This window comes from Homo sapiens, chromosome X (assembly GCF_000001405.40).
Source record: "Homo sapiens chromosome X, GRCh38.p14 Primary Assembly".
Taxonomy (NCBI): Eukaryota; Metazoa; Chordata; class Mammalia; order Primates; family Hominidae; genus Homo; species Homo sapiens.
Window position 1 is genome coordinate 24,881,394 of NC_000023.11, and position 23,648 is coordinate 24,905,041.

The 23,648-nt window shown below is 39.3% G+C and overlaps 1 protein-coding gene across 10 annotated transcripts in view, besides 1 other annotated feature; it reads left to right on the top strand.

Annotated features, from left to right (window-relative positions):
- Window positions 1-23,648, top strand: part of POLA1 (DNA polymerase alpha 1, catalytic subunit) — a 303,069-nt gene that overhangs the window by 187,476 nt on the left and 91,945 nt on the right. For all 10 annotated transcript variants that reach the window (NR_165483.1, NR_165482.1, NM_001440806.1 and 7 more), the window contains one exon: window positions 6,613-6,729. Coding sequence is in view for 8 of the 10 variants with exons in the window: in NM_001440806.1 (NP_001427735.1) it covers window positions 6,613-6,729 (117 nt within the window). In the remaining 2 variants the exon portion in view is untranslated. The remainder of the gene's footprint in view (window positions 1-6,612; window positions 6,730-23,648) is intronic.
- Window positions 15,872-18,762: an enhancer, noted in NCBI's record as "VISTA enhancer hs119". NCBI's record gives its function as "enhancer in: forebrain[5/6]" and the evidence as "EXISTENCE:transgenic organism evidence [ECO:0001131][PMID:17130149]".

The following is a 23,648-nucleotide window of genomic DNA, read 5'->3' on the forward strand; positions in this document are numbered from 1 at the left end:
TTTGATCCCCTGAACAACACTAATAGAGTAAATATTACCTCCTGTTTTATAGATGAGGAAACTGAGGCTCAGAAAGAGGTTCAGTGAGTTGCACAAAATTATCTGTTAGTAAATGGGAGGAAAGAAACCCTACTCATGCAGTTTTTCATAACCTCAATTCTGTATTCTTCGTTGATTGTGAACCTTTGTGGTAGAGACTGGGGAGGACAGTACCAGCTCCAAAACAAATTGTTCCCCAGGGGACCGACCATCCATGTAGGTAGGCAAAACAAGATGGTAAAATAAGATGGTTAAGAGACAGTGCACCGCAGTGTGTGTTCAGCGTTAGGTGGAATAAGGAAGAAATCCCTGTGGATCGGGAAAATTTCACAAAAGACGAATGGAACTGATGATCAAGGAATCGACCTTTTAGGCAGAGGTTCTCCAGCCTGTATAATGATAAGGAGGTGAAAACAGGCAAAATATGGTGAGTACAGTGAGAAAACCAATCTGATTGGGCAGTAAGTTTGTGTAAGAGAATGATGAGAAAGGGCAGGGGAGTGGGATGAGGTTGTAAGGATTTGAAAGCCAGGCCAATGAATTTGTTCTTAATTGTTTGTGGAAGGTGTGTGATTGGGAGATGGGAGTGGAGAGCCCTTTGCATTGGATATAAGAGAGAACGGAGTCAGGGAAACCAGGGAGGAGGCTACTGAAATAGAACAGTCTGAGGTCTGGCTTTGATGAGGTTGGTGGTAATGGGACTATAAAGGAAAGACCAGTGGACAAACTTGGTGACTGATTGGAAATGAGAGGGGAAGGGCCCACTATGTATTTGACTCAAGTATGCAAACTACTATGCATTGTTATTTTCCTTATTGTTTTTTATAAACTTGCTCCTCTACATTTTTATTTGATTGCTTCTGTTCATTTATTCAGAAGACTTTTAAAAATATAACTCCAACTTTTATTTTAGATTTAGGGGGCACACGTGCAGGTTTGTTACATGGGTATATTGCATGACACTGAGGTTTGGGGTACAAATAATCCTGTCACCCAGGTAGTGAGCATAGTACCCAAGAGGTAGTTTTTCAGCCCTTGCTTCCCTCCCTGCTTTAGTAGTCCCAGAATCTGTTCCCACCTTTATGTTCATGTGTACCCAATGTTTAGCTCCCACTTATAAGTGAGAACATGTGGTATTTGGTTTTCTGTTCCTGCATTAATCTGCTTAGCATGATGGCCTCCAGCTGCATCCGTGTTGCTGCAAAGAACATGATCTCATTCTTTTTTATGGCTGCATACTATATATTCCATGGTGTGTGTGTGTGTGTGTGTGTGTGTGTGTGTGTGTGTGTGTGTATCACATTTTCTTTATCCAGTCCATTGTTGATGGGCACCTAGGTTGATTCCATGTCTATCATGAATAGTGCTGCAATGAACATATGAGTGCATGTGTCTTTTTTGTAGAACAGTTTATCTTCCTTTGGGTATATACTCAGTAATGCAGTTCCTGGGTTGAATGGTAGCTCTTTTTTAAGTTCTTTGAGAAGTCTCCAAACTGCTTACCACAGTGGCTGAACTGATTTACATTCCCACCAACAGTGTATAAGCGTTCCCATTTCTCTGCAGCCTTGCCAGCATCTGTTATTTTTTGTCTTTTTAATAATAGCCATTCTGACTAGTGTGAGATGGTATCCTATTGTGGTTTTGATTTGCATCTCTCTGATGATTAGTGATAAGCATTTTTTCGTATGCTTGTTGGCTGCTTATATGTCTTTTGAGAAGTATCTGTTCATGTCCTTTGCTCACTTTTTAATGGGGTTATTTGGTTTTCACATGTTAAGTTGTTTAAGTTCCTTATAGATTCTGGACATTAGACCTTTGTCAGATGCATAGTTTGCAAATATTTTCTCCCATTCTGTGAGTTGTCTGTTTACTCTGTTGATAGTTTCTTCAAAAGATATTTTTGAGGACCTCCTATGCTCTACAGTTTCAGATCTAGATGATTTCTGTGTGTATAGCCTTCTACAAATACAAATGTACACAAATGAATAACAGTTTGTGTTTAAGGTGCAACTACTAGGAACGCCTCAGTTACAAGTGGAAATTGATCCCTTTTTAACATGTGCAGAAGAAGCCATTTTAGTTGAGGCCTCAAAAATATAATTTAGTAATCAGAACCAATCAACATTTGACACAATTTCATACACAATGATTTTAAGGAATTAGTGATGCTGAGATTAAAGCAACAAGTCATAGAGCTTGGCATATTTTGGTAAAGGTTTGTTTTGCTATTGGACAGGCTGACTTCACCTCTTTTGAACTTTCTATTTATAAATGTGGCTAAGCCAGGCAACTAAAAATTTATTGACCTTATTGCTATTGGTTATGATAATTTGTGTGCGGCATTACGTAATAAAATTACGTATTTGGATAGCAGACATCCTTAAAGTGATTCTAGAGGTTTTTATTAAAATCCAAATCTTTTTATAGGTTGAGTAGTTCCAAGGAACTACACTTTTATTAAAAATGTTCTCTTCTGTTTACTTGTCAATGTAGCCTTGGGCTGTACAGGCTATATGTTATTTCTGAAAATGAGGAATGAAAGTAAGTTAAGTTTTGTCTTTGTGAGTGATCAATCAGAGTGAACTTATGCAATATTATTATTTTCATTTGCTTTGTTTTTGTCATTTTTAAGAAACAAAATTCAGTATGAGATCTTATAAGATTTGCATCATCATGGAATATTTTCAAATACCTGTTATATTTATTTATTTTTATTAAAAAAAATTTTTTTGAGACAGGATCTCACTCTGTCACCCTGGCTGGAGTGCTGTGACATAATTACAGCTCACTGCAGCCTTGACTTCCTGGGCTCCAGCCATCTTCCCATCTCAGCCTCCCGAGTAACTGTGACCGTAGGTGCGTGCCACCACTCCCAGCTAATTTTTGTATTTTTGGTAGAGACAGGGTTTTGCCATGTTGCCGACGCTGGTCTTGAACTCCTGAGCTCAGGCAATCCACCTGCCTCGGCCTCCCAAAGTGCTGGGATTACAGGCATAAGTCACCATGCCCAGCCTATATTTATTTTTTAACAGCACAAATGTTCCTTGAAGGTTAGATTTAGCTAGCCGGTTGGCATTTGTTGGGGGAACAAGGGGTTAAATAAAATGTACTTTACAAAATTGAATTGAAGCAAAGCATATATTTAATATGATTAGGGCCTATTTCCTACATAGAAGAGTTTTGTTTAAAATACACCATGACCAAAAGCTTAATTATCAAAATAAAACAAGAAGCATAAAGAGTTACAGGCTTCTAATATTTTTTTCAGCCCCAGTTCCCTTCACACAGTTATCAGCATGTTTAATTTCCATGCATAATAGCACTAGTTATTGTTGTCATTTGTAAAGGGAGATTAACAGATAGTAAGTACAAACAAACCCAAATAAGCACTGAATAGAGAGGTGACAAAGGAAAAAAGACCTCCTTAATGTTAATTATAACTGGTAGGAAGTCTAGACAAATTATATTATCTGTTTTCCATATGATTTGAAAGGACATTTAGTTAGTACCTCTGTCAGAGTTAGGTGCTTGCTTTAAAAACAGGTGAGATGATAACTTAGCATGTCCGTGGTTGGCAGCTCCCCCAGGGAGTTGTGAAGTCGTAGTAAATTGACAGAATCAAGTTTCAAAAACATCTGAAAAGAACTCTATAGTTTTTGAACATTATATTTTAAAAATTAAATAATTTTAATATCCAGGTTATATTTTGGAACTGAATAATTTCTTATCTCAAAACCTGATAGTTATTACCTGTCTGCTTATTTTTTTTAGTTTTGTTTAGAATTGGATGAATTACAACTATGGTTGGCAGTGTTAACTAACTACATATTCCAAAGCATGTAAAGCCTCAGATACCAAATTTAAAGTAACAAACCCAATGAATGATAAAGGAGTGGTCCAGTCCTGTATGGTTTGTTTCCTTTATTAATATACCTAAATGGGTACTTCAAGAAAACAACTAGTCTTACCTTTAGTGTTTATAGGCTACATTTAAAATGTAATACCTGTTCTTGCTGTCAGCTCCACTATTCCCCACTGTATCTCCCATGCCTAGAACAGACTAAACCGAAGTATCTTGTTTCTCTCTCTCTCCCTCCCTCCTTCTCTCTTTTTTTTTGAGATGGAGTCTTGTTGTGTCACCCAGGCAGGAGTGCAGTGGTGCAATCTTGGCTCACTGCAACCTCCGTCTCCCGGGTTCAAGCAGTCAGCCTCCCGAGTAGCTGGAACTACAGGCATGTGCCACCACACTCGGCTATTTTTTTGTATTTTTAGTAGAGACGGGGTTTCACCGTGTTAGCCAGGATGGTCTCCATCTCCTGACCTCGTGATCTGCCCGCCTCGGCCTCCCAAAGTGCTGGGATTACAGGCGTGAACCACTGCGCCCGGCCAGTATCTTGTTTCTTTAATTCTAAGGAGCTGATTGTGAGCTGCACTCTTGACTTAACAGCTTTTTTGAAGGAAACTAAAGTACATTATTAAGCTGTACATGTCCATTATAAATGCATCTGAGTTTCAGAAATAGTAAAACGTGAATATAAATGTCTCTCTAAATCAAGAAGATGTTGTAATACACCCTCAAAATTAAACAGCTGCCTGTGACTCCAAAACACTGATTGGTTCATGATCTTTTGCTGTGGTAGTAGTAGTTCATCTCAGACACTAATCTGTCCCTTCTCTGTATTGTTAGCATTTATAGTTGGTACCACGCAACTTGGTTCTTAAAGCCAAGCCATACTGAATTGCTTTTATAGTCTTTATGTGTGTGGACCTTGCTTTCCTGTTTAGATTGTAATTTCCTAAAACTGTACCTGGGGCCCTTTTGCCTATTCTTCACAATATTTAATGTAATTCTGGGCATATATTACAAGTTTCATTAAGGGCTCATTGAGACCCTCCCTGTACTTGAAAAGCTCATATTAAATTTTAAAATAGTTTAGCCTTGAATGAAGGTAGGAATAATGCTTACTGTGGGTGTATTGACTAGATGAATTTTACATTCTTTAAAGGTAGCATAATTTTTTTATTCATACAGATCTATAATACACTTTCCCTTTTTGTGATAGTCTTAAATGGAGCTAGAAGAACTGATTCTTGGTGCTTTCCCCTGAGTTTTGTTATAGCTACTTCCAGAAAAGCCTATTCCGAGGAATGAGGTCAAACGGCACAGCAGCAAGTGAGGGCATCCCTCAGCTTTGGATTAACACCACATGGAAACATTACTAAGTGGCAGACTAAAGTACCTGACATAATGAACCAACACTCATGTATATACTGCTCTTATCTAAGGGGAAAAGACCAACAAGTTGTTCAGTCTAGAAATAGGATATGTGGTTATGCGTGTTATTGATTCCTTTATTAATGATAACTCAGCATAGCTCTTTCTGGCCTGCATTCTTTGACATACATTGTTCTTTCTGTGTAAGTTGTCTTTTCTGCCTTCTCTACTTACCAAACTTCCACTCATTTTTCAAGACCGGTTCAGAAGTTGCCATGTCTCAAAATGCTCCAAGATCTACAGATAGTCAGGTCCCTACTGGGGGCTCCACAGGTGAGAACACCATAAGACAAGGGAGCAGCAGCATACCGTGTTCACCTTTATACCCCAGCACCTCACTCTAACATTTGCCTTATACTTACGCCTCTGTGGCAATGCATGTAGCACGAAAGCCCACAGACCTTGGTGCCTTAGTATGAACAGGTGAACTTTGACCCCATTTGTGATGTCTTACCTCCTTTGTTTAACAGATAACGTTTTATAACATAAGACTGATTTAAGGTCTTAGGTATATTCTTATCACATCACTATGAGAAAATTCAAACAAGATCAGCAAGGGAGAGTAACTGAAGAAGGAAGGTGAGAAGAGGGTTCTAAAAGACAGAGAAGTGAGCGATAGCTGTAGTATTTCAAACCTCTGGAAAATAGTGATCAGTTGAAGTTGTCCTTGAAAACATTGAAGCTAGTTTTATGTCTCTAGAAAGCACATATAAGAGAATCTATTTTTGTTTGCATGAAATAATTGATTATATTTATTAAGTGTTTCTTTTATGCCAAATATAATCCTAGACACTCTAAATGTGTTCCATCATTGCAACAACGGTATACGGTAAGTACTGTGGTATCCATTTTACAGAGAAGGAAACAGCACAGCAATTAAGTAACTAGCCAATAGTCACTCAGCTATTGGGAAGGTTATACATGTATGTGGTGCATTCTTTGGTAATGGTCTTTACTAATGAACTAAAACACATTGGTTTACATTCTGCCTGTAGTAGAAGTTTTTGTTGGGAAGTTTTGATGTATTGGAGTGAGGAAGGGTGTTTCTTTTAAGAAAAAAAAATAACATCTCATGTGATTTTCTTTTTTTTTTTTTTAACTTAATGGTTTTCCTAACTTCTAAGTTTGGGGCATAGATCTATCTAATTAACATGTCAGGAGAGAGAGATAACTAGAGTTATGTCAGAATTTCTGAGAAAAGATTAAATAAAATGAGTCTATCTTGATAACCAAAAAAAGGTTTATTACTTGTATTTGTCGATGGTGATAAGTCTGAAGTTTTCCCTTCTCTCCAGGGCTGGTTGATATGTGAAGAGCCAACCTGTCGCAATCGAACTCGTCACCTTCCCCTTCAATTCTCCCGAACTGGGCCTCTTTGCCCAGCCTGCATGAAAGCTACACTTCAACCAGAGGTAACAGTCTCATAATGCTAAAGAACCATGTAGAAGAGGGTAGAGGGCTGCTTGCTTTGAGAAGTAGATACTGAGTATTTGCCCTATGAAGATGCCCTACTACCATATGCATATACTAATCTTATTTTTAAAAAATACAGATTTCAGAAAGATACATGCTTTCTTTTTTTCACATGTCATGAGCAATACTATATTTATATTTAAAAGGGAAACTGACTAATTCTCATATGAGTTATAGATTTCTTTGGTTGCCACTACATAATTACAAAAGAAGACATGGCCATTCCATTCTAGAAACTGCTATCGTCTTTGGGCTTGATCAGAATCCCATTTGTAAGAGCCAGAAATCCTCCCAATTCTGTACCCTGAATGGTTTATTTTGTGGGGTTTTTGGTCCCCTCTGCTGGATTAATTGTTTATAAGTAGCTGCATAGATGAGTAGTTCTGAAGCCATTTTTCTTTGTTTTTTGTTTGCTTGTTTTTTTTTTTTTTTTTTTTTTTTTTTGACGGAGTCTTGCTCTGTTGCCAGGCTGGAGTGCAGTGGCACGATCTCAGCTCACTGCAACCTCAGCCTACCGAGTAGCTTGGGACTACAGGCGCGTGCCACTGCGCCCAGCTAATTTTTCTATTTTTAGTAGAGATGGAGTTTCACCATGTTGGCCAGGATGGTCTTGATCTCTTGACCTTGTGATCCGCCCACCTCGGTCTCCCAAAGTGCTGGGATTACAGGCATGAGTCACTGCACCCAGCCTGTTTTGTCTTTTTGAGATGGAGTCTAGCTCTGTCGCCCAGGCTGGAGTGCAGTGGCGGGATCTCGGCTCACTGCAATCTCCGCTTCCCATGTTCAAGCGATTTTCCTGCCTCAGCCTCCCGAGTAGCTGGGACTACAGGCGTATGCCACCACACCTGGCTAATTTTTGTATTTTTAGTAGAGACAGGGTTTTACCATGTTGGCCAGGCTCATCTCGGAGTCCTGGCCTCAGGTGATCTGCCTGCTTCAGCCTCCCAAAGTGCTGGGATTACAGACGTGAGCCACCGCACCCGGCCACTCAAGCCATTTTTCTACCTTAATATACACACCTGAGGTGTAAGACATACTATCATTAATGACTCCCAACTAGAAAGCATGGCATCTGGAAACACTTCTCTGGTAATTAAGATGCCTTCCCTCTGTTGACCCCTTTGAGCATCTTCGACCCAAACAGCATTTTCCAAACTGTAGTGAGAAGTTTGCAGGTTCTTTGAGCAAAGAGGGTTTTGTGATCAAGTATATCTAGCAGATGCTGGGCTAGCTAAAATTAAACAAGTTTATTGCAGATCTTTTCAGAACCTATAATATGATAATGTGCAATCTGTCTCACTAGGACAGGTCCATAATGTGCCTCACTTTCCAAATTCGTCTAGCCTGAAGATTTGTAAGGTTTTTAGTGAGAAGAAGGTGAGACTTGGGAACCTGTTGTTTATTTACTTACTTCTTAAATGCAGAGGCAGGCCTATAATCAAGTTTTGACTTCAAATTTTCCTGCTGAAAAGGGTTGATACACAGACTAGTTTTAGAAAAATATGTACACACAGTTTTAGAAATGGAGTCCTGCTATGTTGTCCAGGCTGGAATGCAATGGCTATTCACAGGCGCAATCATGGCTCACTACAGCCTTGAATTTGTAGGCTCAAGTAATCCTCCTGCTTCAGCCTCCTGAGTAGCTGGGACTACAGGCATGTGCCCAGCTGAAAATATTTTATTTTAAAATAATAATGACTTAATTTTAGGATAATATATCATTTCACAAAATTTGGCAACTAGTCAGGAACTGCAAATAGCTACCATCGTTGTGTATTCAGTTGTTCTTTTGCATATCCATATGTATTTTTTTACATGGTTGCCATCACAATGAAGATATATACTTGTATCACATTTATCTTTTGTCAAGCATTTTTTCTGTGTTGTACTTCATTTTCAGTACGATTTTTTTTTTTTTTTTTGAGACAGAGTCTTACTCTGTTGCCCAGGCTGGAATGCAATGGTGCGATCTTGGCTCACTGCAACCTCTGCCTCCCAGGTTCAAGCAATTCTCCTGCCTTCGCCTCCCGAGTAGCTGGGACTACAGGCGCGTGCCACCATGCCTGGCTAGTTTTTGTATTTTTAGTAGAGATAGGGTTTCACCATGTTGGCCAGACTGGTCTTGAACTCCTGACCTTGTGATCCACCTGTCTCGGCCTCCCAAAGTGCTGGGATTACAGGCATGAGCCACAACACCTGGCCTCCAGTACCAAAAATTTTAAACACAAATTTAACTATACCTTTCATTGGGCATTTTAGGCTATTTTCAATATCTCTACTTGAAATTTTGTGATGAATATTTTTCTGCTTAAATGATTTTTTCTTTATTTGACATTTAGGATAAATTCTTATCAACAATACATACATACATTGCATAAATACAATATGGTCATGATTTATATTGCCAAATTGCTTTCCTAATGGGCTTTCCCAACTTATACTGTATACCAGTACTTTATGAACATACCAGTTTTACCATAGCCTTTCTAACATTTGGACACTATCATTTATTTTTTAAAACTAATTTGATCAGCATAAAAAGTTCCTTGCCCTTTTTTTGGTATACCTTTGATGATTAGCAACTTTTTTTAAAATGTGGAATGTTAGAATTAGCTGTCATTGAATTATTTTTACGTCATTCTTGTCTCAAGACTTGCATCAGCAGGTGCAGAGAGAGAACAAAAGTGTATGTATTTAGTGTGACTCATCAATCCGGTTGTAGGCTTTAGGGGAATCACCTTGCTTCATGAACTGATGCTGCCTTTGAGACTTTTTAAATATCTAACTCATCAAGTTAAGTTCAATGAAAATCAAATTACTTCTTAGAAAATCAACCAGTTTTATGATTGCATTCTTGGTAAGAGAAGGTAAAAGGTTAGTCTATAATCTTAGATCGTTAAGCTATTAGACCGATACATTTCGAGGATGATGTTGATAGTGGTTTAGTATATCAGGTTATCTTTTAACATTTATTAATCTTTTTAGATTTCAAAGTGACTTGTTTTTTTCTTCATATCCTTGTCCTTCTCAAAACTGCAGCGTTTTAGACATGTGTTTCTCAAGGTTATCAGCTACTCTTCCCAAGGAGAAGCTTTCATAGATTAGCTCCTCTGGTTCCGGTGCTGCTCAGGACATGACCCTATGGAGTTACTCAGTTTCAGAGCAGGCTGGTTGGTGATACTTTCCTTAGCCATTCCTGACAGGGACCTTGACAGTGGGACTCAGAACACTCTTATGTACTCGATTTTGAGTTGCTAATAATGGGCGAGGAATTTCTTAATTCTATTTGTGAGGTTCCTGGGCTTTTCTAGTAGGAGGGAAAAATGCATTTTTCCAAAGATAGTTCTAGAGAAGTTCAAAAAACAGTTGTGCAATGGACAGAATTATTGTAATCATCAGAGGGTTTTCCAAAGTATCTATTCTGCAGGATTATACTCATCTGGTTCTCAAGTTCTCAGTTGCTCTGTCTCAATCATACCTTACTTTCATTTAATAATTATTTATTAAACAACTGCAACTACATCCTAGGCACTTTGCTAGGTGCTAGAAACATGTTAATGAACAGAACATTTCTTTATTTATAAAACTATTTTAACATTACACAGATTATATAAAATTCTATAAAGTTGATATCTGTGGGCAAAAATAGGCATTTATAAATGCCCATTTGGACAGAACACTAGACATTCCTAGTGCTAGACTAGTGGGAGCTTTAAATATGTTGTTCAAGTTTGATGGTAAAGCACTGGCCTCTTACTGTGCCAGTCTTATCTGCACATAATAAACCTATTCTCACTTAGTCCTGGGTTGCAGTTGACTTGAGTACTTTCCAGAATTGACTTGGAGTAGGAAAGCTGGCTCTTCTGCTGGCTCGCATTGCCAGAGTTAGAAGAAGAAAGCCGGGACAGTTTTTTTCTCAGGGTTTTACACGTGTATCTTCTCTCTTCTCAGATATTTCATTCATATATATATATATATCTCACAGTTAAGTTTTTTAGGCTCATGGAAATTCCCAGTATACAAGTTGCTGCTTAAGACATATATTCCCTGAGTATTTTTTGCTATATAAGAGGTGCATTTAAATACGAGAGTGAAAATTTTGATGCATGTTTAAGTTACTAAGTAAATAGAACCCTCTTTGACAGGATCATTCATGTGCCAAACCTCAGCGTCACACAATATACCCATGTAACAAACATGTACACGTACCCTCTGAATCTAAAATAAAAGTTGATGTTATTTTTAAAAATCGAACTCTATCATACTGGTGATAGAGATGAGACTTACCCAAGTTAGGCAATAAATATTTTAGTATCTCTTTGTTTTAAGAATGTGGTTTTGACTTTTTAATATGGTGAAATGTGTATGGATGTGTATGGAATCCCTCCACAGAGGATTCTGTATTAGTAATTCACCAAAAATAAAGCTTTCTGGTTTTGTTGTTGTTATTATTATTAATCTCTCATTATCGAACTGGGATTTCAAACCAAATTAAACTTTTTCTCATTAACGTATTCATTCTTGATGTAGAGCTGAGAAAATGTCTGTATGTGACTCTCACGATCATGGTAGAAATAATCTGTCGAAACTGTATAGTCCCTGGGGCAGGAGCAGTATAGTGGAGCCCTTTATTCAATTATTTAATCAACTAAATTTCTTGAAGGTCACTTATAAGGAAAGCAGTGAAATGACTTCTAGTCCTACTTTGAGAAACCCCCTAGTGTTTCTCACATTTTCCTCACTTGTAAAATTGCTAAAGTCTATTATAACAGAACACATAATGTGTACCATTGTAGGACTTCTGTCCTTAAAGGGAGAGGAGAAATAATGAACTTATAATCATTATATGTTACCATCTCAAAATGGCTATGGCTGAACAAATTGTTGATTTGATGAGTAGGTTAGGGACAGTGAGAATGTTGCCAAGCTACCTGGGGAAGTTTCTTTTTTCAGAAGAAAACATGAAAATAATTGTGGTCTCTTAAGGCAGTAAGCATGAGTCCGTGTAGGAAGAGAACCTTAGAACTATGACCTAAAGTCTTAAACCTAGTCATTGGTTATTCTCCAGTAGGGAATGGTGGTTTACCATGAAGGGTCTTTTGGAGCTCTCCTTTGTTATTTTGACATGCATATTTGATGCAAAGAGATTACTAAATTCTATTTACAGCTTCTCTTACTGCCACATGGGTGCTAGCAACCTTTTTCAATTTACTTTTTTTTAATTGGGGTATAATTGACATAACATAAAATTAAGTGTTTTAAAGTGAACCATGCAGTGGCATTTAGTACATTCACAATGCTGTGTGGCTACCACCAGTATCTAGTTCCAAAACATTTTCATCACCCCAAAGAAAATTCCATATCTATTAAGCAGTCCCTCCCCATTTCCCCCTCCTTCTAGCCCCTGTTGTCACTATGGATTGTACCTACTTTGAATATTTTCTGTAAATGAAATTATACGATATGTAACCTTTTGTGTCTGACATCTTTCACCTCGCATAACATTTTTGAAGTTCATCTGTGTTGTAGCATGTATTAGTACTTCATTCTTTTTTATGGCCAAATAATATTCCATTGAATAGATATGCCACAATGTGTTTATTCATCCATTGATGGACATTTGGATTGCTTTGTCAGTACACTTTTAAAGTTTATTTTTAATTAAGTAGACAGGTCTTACATTTGGCCTGAATTTTTTTTTTCTGTAGCTCACTCATTGGTCCTACCTCAGCTGAATGGTACCACACAAAGCTAGACTGATCCCTTTTTCTGTCTCTGCCTTCAGTAAGCACTTATTCAGCACCTATTCAATGCCCATGTTATGAGAGCCTCTTAGACATATAAAAGTAGCTGTCTTCCTGAGTGTTCCCTTCTAGACCCAATATTCCTGAGTCTTCGTTTCTCTAGAGCTCTGCTTTCAGAATAATGATCTTAGTAAAGACTTTGTGTCTTGATAAATTGAGGAGCCCAAAACTGCGTGCAGTATTTTAGGTGCTCTCACTAGCACTAGTATGGAGCAGAAGAAACCTGTCACTGCTACCTTTTCTAGGTAGTAAATTTCTGTTAAGTCTGTTCAGAGTTGTGTTAACTTTCTTGGCATCCATACTTGCAGTGTTTTTCGTTTTGAGCATTCTCTAAATTAAAATGCCTAGCAATTTTTTTTGTACATGCATCTGCTAAGCCATGTCTTATCATGGATTTTTTGGACCCAAATGGCTTATTTAGACCTAAGTGTAAGACTTCAGTAGGTAGTATATTAACAAAGTACTACAAACTAGGTGACTTAAAGTAATAGAAATGTATTACAGCTCTGGAGGCTAGATGTCTGAAATCCAAGTGTTGGCGGGGCCATTTTCCCTCTGAAATTTACGGGGAATCCTTCCTTGCCTTTTCTAGCATCTGCTAATCCTTGGCTTGTAGATACATCACTTCAATCTCCGCTTCTGTTGTCACATGGCAGTCTTCTTCCCTGTGTGTCTCTTTCTCTTTTTCTTATAAGGACACCAGTCTCATATTGGACTAAGGCCCAGCCTAATTCACTGTAACTTCGTCTTAATGTGATTTCCTGTACCAATACTCTATTTTCTTTCTTTTCTTTTCTTTTCTTTTTTTTTTTTTTGTGAGACAGAGTCTGACTGTATCACCTAGTCTAGAGTGTAGTGGCACAGTCACAGCTCACTGAAGCCTCGACCTCCTGGGCTTAAGTGATCCTCCCAAGTATCTGGGATTACAGGCATGTGCCACCATACCTGGCTAATTTTTATATTTTTTGTAGAAACTGGGCTTTGCCATGTTGCCCAGGCAGGTCTTGAAATCCTGGGCTCAAGCGATCTGCCTGCCTTGACCTCCCAAAATGCTGAGATTACAAGCATGAGCCACTGTGCCCAGCCCCGCCCCTATTTTCTAATAAGGCCACATTCATAGGAACTCGGGGTTAGGACTTGAACATATCTTTTTAGGAACACAATTCAACCCATTACAGGTAGGAATTGCACTGAGCTAAAAGTAATGGAGACCAAAACTAACAGTAGCTTCAAAAGAACAGACATTTAATTCTCTAAGAAACATTCATTCCTTATCATGTGAAAGAAATCCAGGTTTGGGCTATCCAGGATTGCTCTTGTGGCTCCACAGTGTCATCAGGGCATAGTCTCTTCCTGCTCTTTTCTGTCATTCTCAAAGTCATGATGTGTTCCCAGGAGACTGCACACGCTTCTGAAGCCATCAAAGGGTACAAGATGGAGAAAAGGCTGAAGGATCCAAAGGATGTGCTTCCCAGCCTTGTCAGTTCTTTATGCAGCCTTTCTAGAAGTTCCATTCAATACTCTTGCTTGCATTTCGTGGGCTAGAAATTAGTCATGTGGAAATAATTGCTCTTTTTGTTACTAAAGAAGGAAGAGTAGACTGGGTATTGGGGACCAACCAGCACTCTATGCAACAGAGACCTTCCAATGAACCCTGTCAAATCTCCCCTTGCTGGCCTCAGCCCATCACTGTTCCATTGTGGGATTTTTGAATCCTGATTCTGCCATGTACCCAGCCATTTGGCTTCTGCAGTTCTTGGAGAAGATAAAAGATCTCTCTTTTGTCTTCTCCAAAGTATTGGTTAAAATGTTGAAGTGCATTTATGCACAAAACGGTGGATAGATGCCTTCTTCTAGATGGACATTGCTCCATTTTAATCAGTATGCTTTGTGTAGGATTCTTCTAATTATCTTTGCTTCTAGTTTGTAATTTTCCACAAGGGGAAGAAGCCCTACTTCTAATGGGCCTGTAGTCTAATGGAAGACTTAGGGAAATACAAATTTTCCACACTCCATTGACCAAAGGGACAAAAAGGGCTGCAACAGCTTTGTAATCCCAGTGCTCCCTAATCAATAAGGTAGGAAAGATAATAGAGAGGTGAGGATGGTGATTATTAGATGAGAGCCTTGATCCTTAACTGGGGGCAGTTTTGCCCCCCAGGGAACATTTTTGGTTGTCATAACTGGGGGTTGTAGCTGGAGTGGGGAGGGAGGTGCCGCTGGCATCTCTTGAGTAGAGGCCAGGGATGCTGCTAAACATCTTGCAGTACACAGGATAGCTTCCAGAGCTAAAGAATGATGCAGCCCCCAAAGTCAATAATGTCAAGGTTGAGAAACTTTGGACTACAGTAACCTGTCCAACCCACAGCCCATGGGCTGCATGTGGCCCAGGACGGCTTTGAATGCAGCCCAACTCAAATTTGTAAACTTTCTTAAAACATGAGGTTTCTTTTTTGTTTTGGTTTTTGGTTTTTGGGTTTTTGTTTTGTTTTGTTTTGTTTTTTTGCGATTTTGCTGTTTTGTTTTGTTTTTAGCTCATCAGCTGTTGTTAGTGTATTTTATGTGTGGCCCAAGACAATTCTTCTTCTTCCAATATGGCTCAGGGAAGCTAAAAGATTGGACATCCCTGGACATTGAGGGTATCTAGCACAGATGCCTTAGAGTAGAATTTGAAGGCAGATTTTAAAAAGGACACCTTTTAGAGTGGAACAAATACATGTAGCAATGGCTGTGATTGGTTGGGTACAGAGAATGACATGTAGACTTTTCATGGCTGTTAAAGAGTATAGAAGGCAAGGCATCTAGAAGATGAAAACAGTTATAAAATAGTACCCCTTTACTACCATAGGCAGAAGCTTTCATTTTAATTAGCTATTGAAGGTATTTGCTAGATTCGTAAGACGAGAGACTGGGAAGCCTAATTTAAGTGCAAGGTGCTTAACATGCCCTTGATACGGTTCGAAGAGTTTGAAGAGTGCATTTGGGAGCTGTGTTGGAATTCCAGGGAGCACTTCACTTTGCTGATGGGCTGTCTGTCCTGTGTGAATCGAGTACAGAAACAGAAGATAGTATAAGAGCCATGATGCTATTGGATGAGAAGGGTCATGTGCTAGTAAAATGTGATTATATATGCTCTTTATTGGTGAGGTGTAAATATGGCCCTGGAAATCTAGAGACCTATGTAATCTTAGAGAAGTCATTTTACCTTTTGGGACCTCAAGTTCCTCATTTGTAAAATAGAAGGCTTACAGCATCAGAAAAGGCCCCTCAAAGGAGAGTGGACTTTGGGAGGAAAACAGGCATAGGGCACAGAAGTGGGGGGCTGTTCTGGACAGGAAGATGAACAAATGCCTTCCTCTTCTCTTCACTGCCCCCCCCCCCACCAACCCCCACCTCAGCAGAGGGAAGGGATGCATCTGCTATCCCCACTCATCACTGGACTCCCCAAGGGCCAGGTGTGCAGTTCGTTCACCTCAGGGAGATCCAGTGCCTGGAACTCAGTGCATACCCAAGTGATGTTTGTTGAATGAATGAATCTTAGTTAGAGCCCACGTCTACAAACGAAAAAAGAGCAAAAAGCTTGTTTCCATTTCCAGTTCTTGTTTCTGAAGAAAATGAAGGGCTTTTCTTTCTCCCCAGAGACCACATCTTCTTGGCCCCTCTACCTAGACCAATGCAGAGATGTTCCAGGGATGTTCAGTCTAGCCCCCTTTCAGTTCCTTACTCTTTCCCACCTATTCCTCTCCCTTCTTAGATCCTTCTTGTGTTTATGCACAGTATTTGTTTGGCAAGTGCCTTGGGAACTAGCAAAACCATGAGGACATTTTCCTGTCACCGATACCCTCTAATGTGTCCCTTTTGAGTTGGCAGCTTAAACTGCTTGCTGAATAAAACATTAACTTCTTCACCCCAACCTTGTCCTTACTCAATTCTGGCTTCACAGCTTTATTGACAGCAATGCTTATCAACCCACTTTTATGGTGGGCTGAAAGAGATTGACTATTATTGTGCCCAGATTAAATGGGGGAGTAATGCCACCCCTGTCTGATTGTGTTGTAATTGGTCAGAGTTATATACAGGTGCAATTTGTAATATTTTCAGTAAATTAAATTTTTTTCTCTTTGGCTTTTATTGATGTATGTTCAGATGCCCATTAGGGCTTCCTTTTTTCCAGTGGAAATTGCAGCATGTTAATTTTCACACAAATTACAGCAATAGCAGGTATCTCTATTTGATACATTATAACAGGAGCAATCAAGGATAATTGAGTGCCTTTCAGATGGAAACGGGTGCATTCACTTCAATTCAAAGCGAGTCCATTTATCGCCTAATCGGTCTTTAAACACTAAATTTCTGGAACAAAAATTCTTGTCATAATTTTGCTTAAGTGTATTTGGAAATCACAGTCCTTTGAGCAAGGATAATTGAAATCAAATCCCTTTCAATGGAGGTGACATTTCTACATTTTCCCAATTGAAATTAATTTCAAAAATTGAGCATGAATATCTTCAAATGGCAGGCAATTATAGCTTTCAATGGGAAGAAATTATGCGCACAAAAAAGTGGAGACATCAAATACCGCTTCAGCTAAATGTCTTTGTTTCCAACTGTGTTTGCCTTGTAAAGATTTACATATATTGACTTATTATGCAACCTTGAGATGCAGATCGCCTTCCTTTTTCATCTGAGCCCATTAAAATTAACTAAAATTGGAACGTTCTTGTTAAGCTTCATCAAAACTGTTTGGAATTTACTGCAGCTGCAGAAATGTGTTCATAATAGAACTTAACCCTTCAAAGACTTGAATTCTACCCCCATTTTTTTTAAATCTGGAATTCTAACTTCAGCGCATTTCATTGTTTCACTTTTAATGATTCAAAAGAGGAGTGGTGAAGAACTGATATGCTAATTGTCTTCTCTTTTTGTCATCTGGTACCCATGGGATCTCAGGTAAATCTCTGGAGCCTGTCCCCTTTGAAAACTGCCCTGAAGGACAATACTGAGTTCCCAGAGGGCACCAATATGCCAACCTTTAATATTTAAATGTAATCATATCAAGCCGATTTCCCACTCCTCACAATAGGAATTGCTCTTATTGTTGGACTGTGACAAACTCTGTGGGTTTCCTGCTGCGGACCTTTTCCTACTAAGAACCTTTTCTCCCAATTGTTTTATTGCCACATTAATGCTGCTATTAAGATCCGTGTGCTATAAATTAGATAAGCTTTATATATTTTTTTATTCATCGTGACTTTCTTCTGTTTTCCAAGGGTAAAAGTATATTGAGAACTGACTCTTGCAAGCACTTACTTTTCGAAAGTAGTTTAGAAGCAATCTAGCCATGTTTTACAGTTATAGCGGCAATTGTTTCAACAACCCCAAAAAAATTGCATTACTGAAATATATTTCATGGGTGCAATTGGCCAGGGACAGGGAGGGCAGCAGGCCATTTCTTTTATTAAGGTCTTGCGCAAATGTTATGAAGAGGGCAGTATCTCAAGAAACAATTTCACAGCTGGTTTGCTCCTAAGCCACTCAAGCCTAAAAATGCACCGAATTCCTGGTGGAAAAAAAAGAAATAGATGTCACTCCCAAACAAAGACAGGTGCTAAGCTGCGGGAGATGAGAGAAGGGGTGAAAACAGTATCCAGCTTTAATAGCAAAAGCAAATGCTAGCTAATGGCCCATTCTCAGGAACTCGTTAAGTCATCTCTAAGCAACCACAGGATAATACACTCGTTATTTCTGCTGGTATGTTTCCTAAAAGTGAGGCGTATTGCTTTGAGCCCAGAATCTTAGTGGATAGTGCGCCTCACCTCTGTATTAACCTGTTGGCACGAGACCTTTCCTGCCGTCTTATGCCTTCTTAATGGAATTTTTATTAGTCATTTGGGTGTTCTTTTTTACTTTATTTTCTTTGCTCTTAATTTTTAGCTTTTTAACTAAAAATGTTTTTAAGTTACCTAATGTTTTTTGTGTCCTATAAGAGAATTTCCCCCCTTGGTTCACCTGCTGATTGGTTTTTGTGTATGATAAATTATTCAGAGCTTATGCAAAGTGTTTAATGTATTTTCCAAGTTATTGTTTTAGTGGAAGATGGACATTTGTCTTTGGGTAGGAATATGTGGGTTTTTTACGTTCAAAGCAGGAGTTGTTTTCTGCTCAAATTTGATATTTGTTAGCCTTGATGTTTGAAGTACTCATCGGTGACCAATAAGCTGTTATACAGCCTTGAACACTGACTGAAGGGGGTCTGAAATACCATGGGGATTAAAAATAGCAAAACCACATGCTGAAATTAGAATTTATATTTAGACGATATATTGTCTTTCACTCACCCTGCAGAATTTTATTTTTAAGGCTGTACATTGTGTGGCTCTGTGTTTCTCATTTTAGAAACACAAGGAACTCACTGGAAAGCCAGACCTGGTTAATACAAACATAGTCTGAGTAAACATACAGGAGTTGCTATGCAGGATAAGGGCAGAACATTCTTCACCAACACCACATTGGTTCAGTATAATCACAAACACTGAAATTTTTCTTTGTGAAAGTGACACTGTGAAATGTGTAACAAAATTTTTCAAGGCATTTGGGGATGTATAGTTCAGCATTCAACAGGACCACCAAAGATGTAGGCAGATGCATTTCCGCCGCTTCAAGGAAGGGTGCCGAATGTGCGCAGGCCCTCTGTGCTATCCTTCATTGTTCCTGCATTTACCTTCCTACTTCTATGCAATGGAGTGCAAAGCTTGTTTATTGGCAGTCCTGAAGGCTTTGCAGAGGTACTGAATGGTGGAAACTGAGATTTCCAAATCCTCCTAGGTTTTAGGGCAGCACTCTTTAAATAGGATTTCTGAGTCCCAAATCTTTCTTATATCCTTGATAATTTTTATATTATTTCTTCCTTCAGACATAACCTTGATATGGGCTGTGTGTCCTTGGAATGCCAAGCAGAGATCATTTTATGCTTTGAGGTCATAGTTATAAATAATGTTACTTATCATATACTCCAAATTCATTCAGAATTTAGTGAGCACCTACTCTGGACCAACACTGATACAGCCAGTAGGTATACAGCAGGAATCTAAAATTAAGTCCCTGTCCTCATGGAACTTACATTCCAGTGTGGGGAGACAGATAATAAACAATAATTATATGACATGGCAGGTAGTGACAAAGTACTGTGGAGAAGAATTCAGCTGTGTGAGTAGGAAAGGGACTGGCACAAGTAGGGTTTGTTAATTTATGTAGGGTATCTAGGGAAGTTCTCCTTGAAACAGTAATAGTAAGCAAAGGCCAGAGGGATGTGAAACAGTGGGCCTTGCAGATATGAAGAGGAAGGGCATGTATAAGGGATCTGGAACAGCTAGTATAAAGGGCCTAAGATAGGAGGGTGCTTGGCATATTTAAAAAATAGGAAAAGGGCCAGTGTAGCAAGAGAAAAGGGAACGATGGGGAAAGCCGAAAGAGGTAAGGTGAGAGAATTTGGGCAGAGGGTGGAGACACTGTGAAGAGCCATGTAAGCCATTGTAAGGGCTTTAGTATATATGCTAGGGGAAATGGGGAGCTATTCAGGAATTCCATGTGGAAGAGTGCAGTATCTGACTAAGTTGACTGCTTTGACTGCTGTAATTTAGGCAAAATATGTTGATGGTAGCTTGGCCCAAGGAATAGAAGGGAATCTGTGAGAAGTGGTTAGATTCTTGATGCATTTTAAAGCTAAAACTGATAGGAGTTGCTACTCCAATCCTTCTTCCCCTGTGACGTTATATAGAAGGAAATGGAGGAGAGATTCCTTCTTACAGGCTACTGATTCTCAATTGAATTCTAATGTATTTAATTATTCACCTAAAACTAAGATCTTGCCTATGGACCCCATATAGCATAGCAGTATCCTTACTCTTAATAGACTTTAGGGGAAAAAAATGAGTTGTGTTTGACTTTCAGCTCACAGTCTAGCCAATGAGGCAAAATTACAGAACCAGAGAAACCCCTCTGCGCGTGCATGTGCGTGCACACACACACACACACACACGCACACCCCTGTACATGCATGTACAGATCCCTGAAAGTCATGAGAAGCACAGCTGGAATGAGCCATTGTCTCAGATGGGTGTGTGTTCATATGCAGGTGTGTTGAAGGGGTGGTGGGAAGTAATTAACAACTGCTGTACTAATTTTTAATGTAAACATGTACATAAGTAGTTAGAGGAGATGATAAGAGAAGATTGCATAGAAAAGGTGAGATGTAAACTAAGACTGGTAGGATCAGTAGGATATAAATAGGTGAAGTTGAGGAGGCAGAAAGACATTCTTGTCAGTCCCTTCTCTGTGCTTCTGCTTCGAAGGTAGAGGATTTGGTGCCTTCTACTCTTTCTCTACATAATCTATTTAGAAGATGCTCCAGTGTTATGAAAACAGCCTTAGGAGGCTGTATGACATCTACTTAGAAACAGTAGATTGAAGTTGGATCTTTAGAGCAAACTATTCTATCATGTGACTGTTAGACTCCAGTTTAGTGGTATCAGACTATGCCCTTCTTTTTGGATGGTTATAGATTAAAGGAAAATCTTCTAGGGCAAATCTTGAAATTAAGAAAGTATTAAGGGTGTGCTCCATACTCTGTTCCTTGTTTGTATCCTTATGCCTTGTCCTTCCACCAGTCTTCCCTCTCCTCTTCCTTTACACTCAGCTGTCCTGTAATGCAATGTGTGTGTTCCTAAAAATCACTAAGCTATGGAAAATCATATAATGACAACCACACAGTTTATGGAAAAACAGAAAGGTTAGGGCAACACACAAAAACTTCATCAGTGACACATAAAAAAGGATATAGGAACCTAAACAAAAACAATGACATAGTTTTACACATCTTCAGTAGCTAAGAAATATATAAATATTACAATAAATATGGTACTTTACCCCGAAAAAGACTTGAAGTTTGCTTGTGGAAGTGGACTCAGAAGGATTGCAGCTGTGAGTCATGATGACGTAGAGAATGGAAGGTTATCTGAAATTGGAAGGAAAGTTGCAACAAACACCAGATGTGGGTGAGTGTAGCACAGTGAACTGAGGTAGCTGGTTGATGTTTGAGGTATTTGCGTATGTGTGTTTTATGTATTCCTGTATTGCTTGGGTGCATTTCTTGCATTCACCTAATATTTCTTGCAGACAAAATCATGCACGAGCAAACACGAAATTCATGTTGTGTTCAAACTGTTCCGTGATATATCAATGGCACTGGAATAAATTCTCATATTCAAAACAAGCGCTGTAGCAGAACCAACTGTATCTCGTTTTGTCTTGATGATTAACCAGCACCTTAACTGTCTCCCTGCTTTATTGTTTTCTCTTCATTCTCATAATGTACAAAGACACTCGTATTTTTAGAAAGACTGATTGGAACATCTGTCAACCAGATAATTAAACTTATTGAATATTGTCTATCTCCAGCATCCTGGTCTGGGACGTGGGAAACAAAAAACGTTTTGAAACAATGGGTTCTGCCTTTATACTGCTTGAATATGGGGAACTAAGCGCAGACCTTTGAAGCAAAACAACAGTTCTTAAAATATGACAACATATAGAATTAATACATCAGTGCTGAAGAGATAGGGTAAAGTAGTTAGTAAAGAGATAGGATAAAGTAGTTAGTAAGGTAAAGCTTCTTAGAATATATAAATTTTGATCCAGATTGTAAACAAAGTTGTGAACATGGATTGGGGAAGTAGTCCCAGAAGATGAAAACCCTAGCATCAAATTCTACCAGCATTTTGGTTCCAGGTAAGATGGAGTAAGAATAGTTCTTATTGTCTCCAACCGAAAGCAACTGTAAAACCTGGACAGCATGGGTGGAGCAGTTACATGGAGACCGAAAAGTAAACAGTAGCAGGTAGGTTAAAGATGAAGACCAGATTTCTTTTTTTTTTTTCTTTTTTCTTTCTTTCTTTCTTTTTTTTTTTTAAGACCGGTTCTTACTCTGTCAACCAGGTGGAGTGCAGTGGTATGATCAAGGCACCCTGCAGCCTCAATCTCCTGGGCTCCAGTGTTCCTCTTGCCTCAGCCTCCCAAGTAGCTGGGACTGCAGGCACTTGGCACCATGACTGGCTAGTTTTTTTATTTTACTTTTAGTAAAGATGAGGTCTTGCTATGTTGCCTAGGCTGGTCTCAAACTCCTGAGCTCAAGCACACCCCGACCTCCCAAAGTGCTAGGATTACAGACGTAAGCCACCGTGCCTAGCGATGACCAGATTTCAAGTACCTTTAAACTAGCAGTAAGTTTGCCATTTTGTCCCCTGATATTCCCCTGCCTAAATGCAGCACAGCGTAAAACCAAGCGTGGGCACCAAGCTACAGACAGCAAGTTCCAGGAGAAGCAAGTAGTGGCAAAGGTAACACCCAGAGAGAATGTAGAAATCCCCATGGCTTTCTTTTGTTTTTTTTTTTTTTCTTCATGCCCTCATGCATCAGTCTTCAAGTAACCTTATGGTGGCAACAGAAGCTGCAGTGAGAGTCAGCAGGAGCCAGAACTCCAAGGAAGGGAAATCTCTTCCCTGAATCCTCTTTCTCTTTCTTCCTATCCATTGGTCCTAAATGGAGTACAGTCACAAAAATACATGACAAGTTAGATAACTAAAGACACAGCTTTCTGACTGGAGGACTGAAAACAGGAGTTACCTGCAGGGAACTAGAAGGTACCAGGAAGATGACAGAGAAAGCCTTAGGGAAACAGGCCCCATAAGGTTGTTTATGAGTCGGGTGCAGTGACTCATGCCTGTAATCCCAGCACTTTGGGAGGCCAAGGCAGGAGGATCACTCGAGGTCAGGAGTTCGAGACCAGCCTGGCCAACATGGCAAAACCCTGTCTCTACTAAAAAGACAAGCGTTAGCCGGCGTGGTGGCACACACCTGTAATCCCAGCTACTTAGGATGCTAAGGCAGGAGAATCGCTTGAAACCAGGAGGCAGAGGTTGCAGTGAGCCGAGATCGTGCCACTGCACTCCAGCCTGGGCAACAGAGCAAGACTCTGTCTCAAAAAAAAAAAAAAAAAA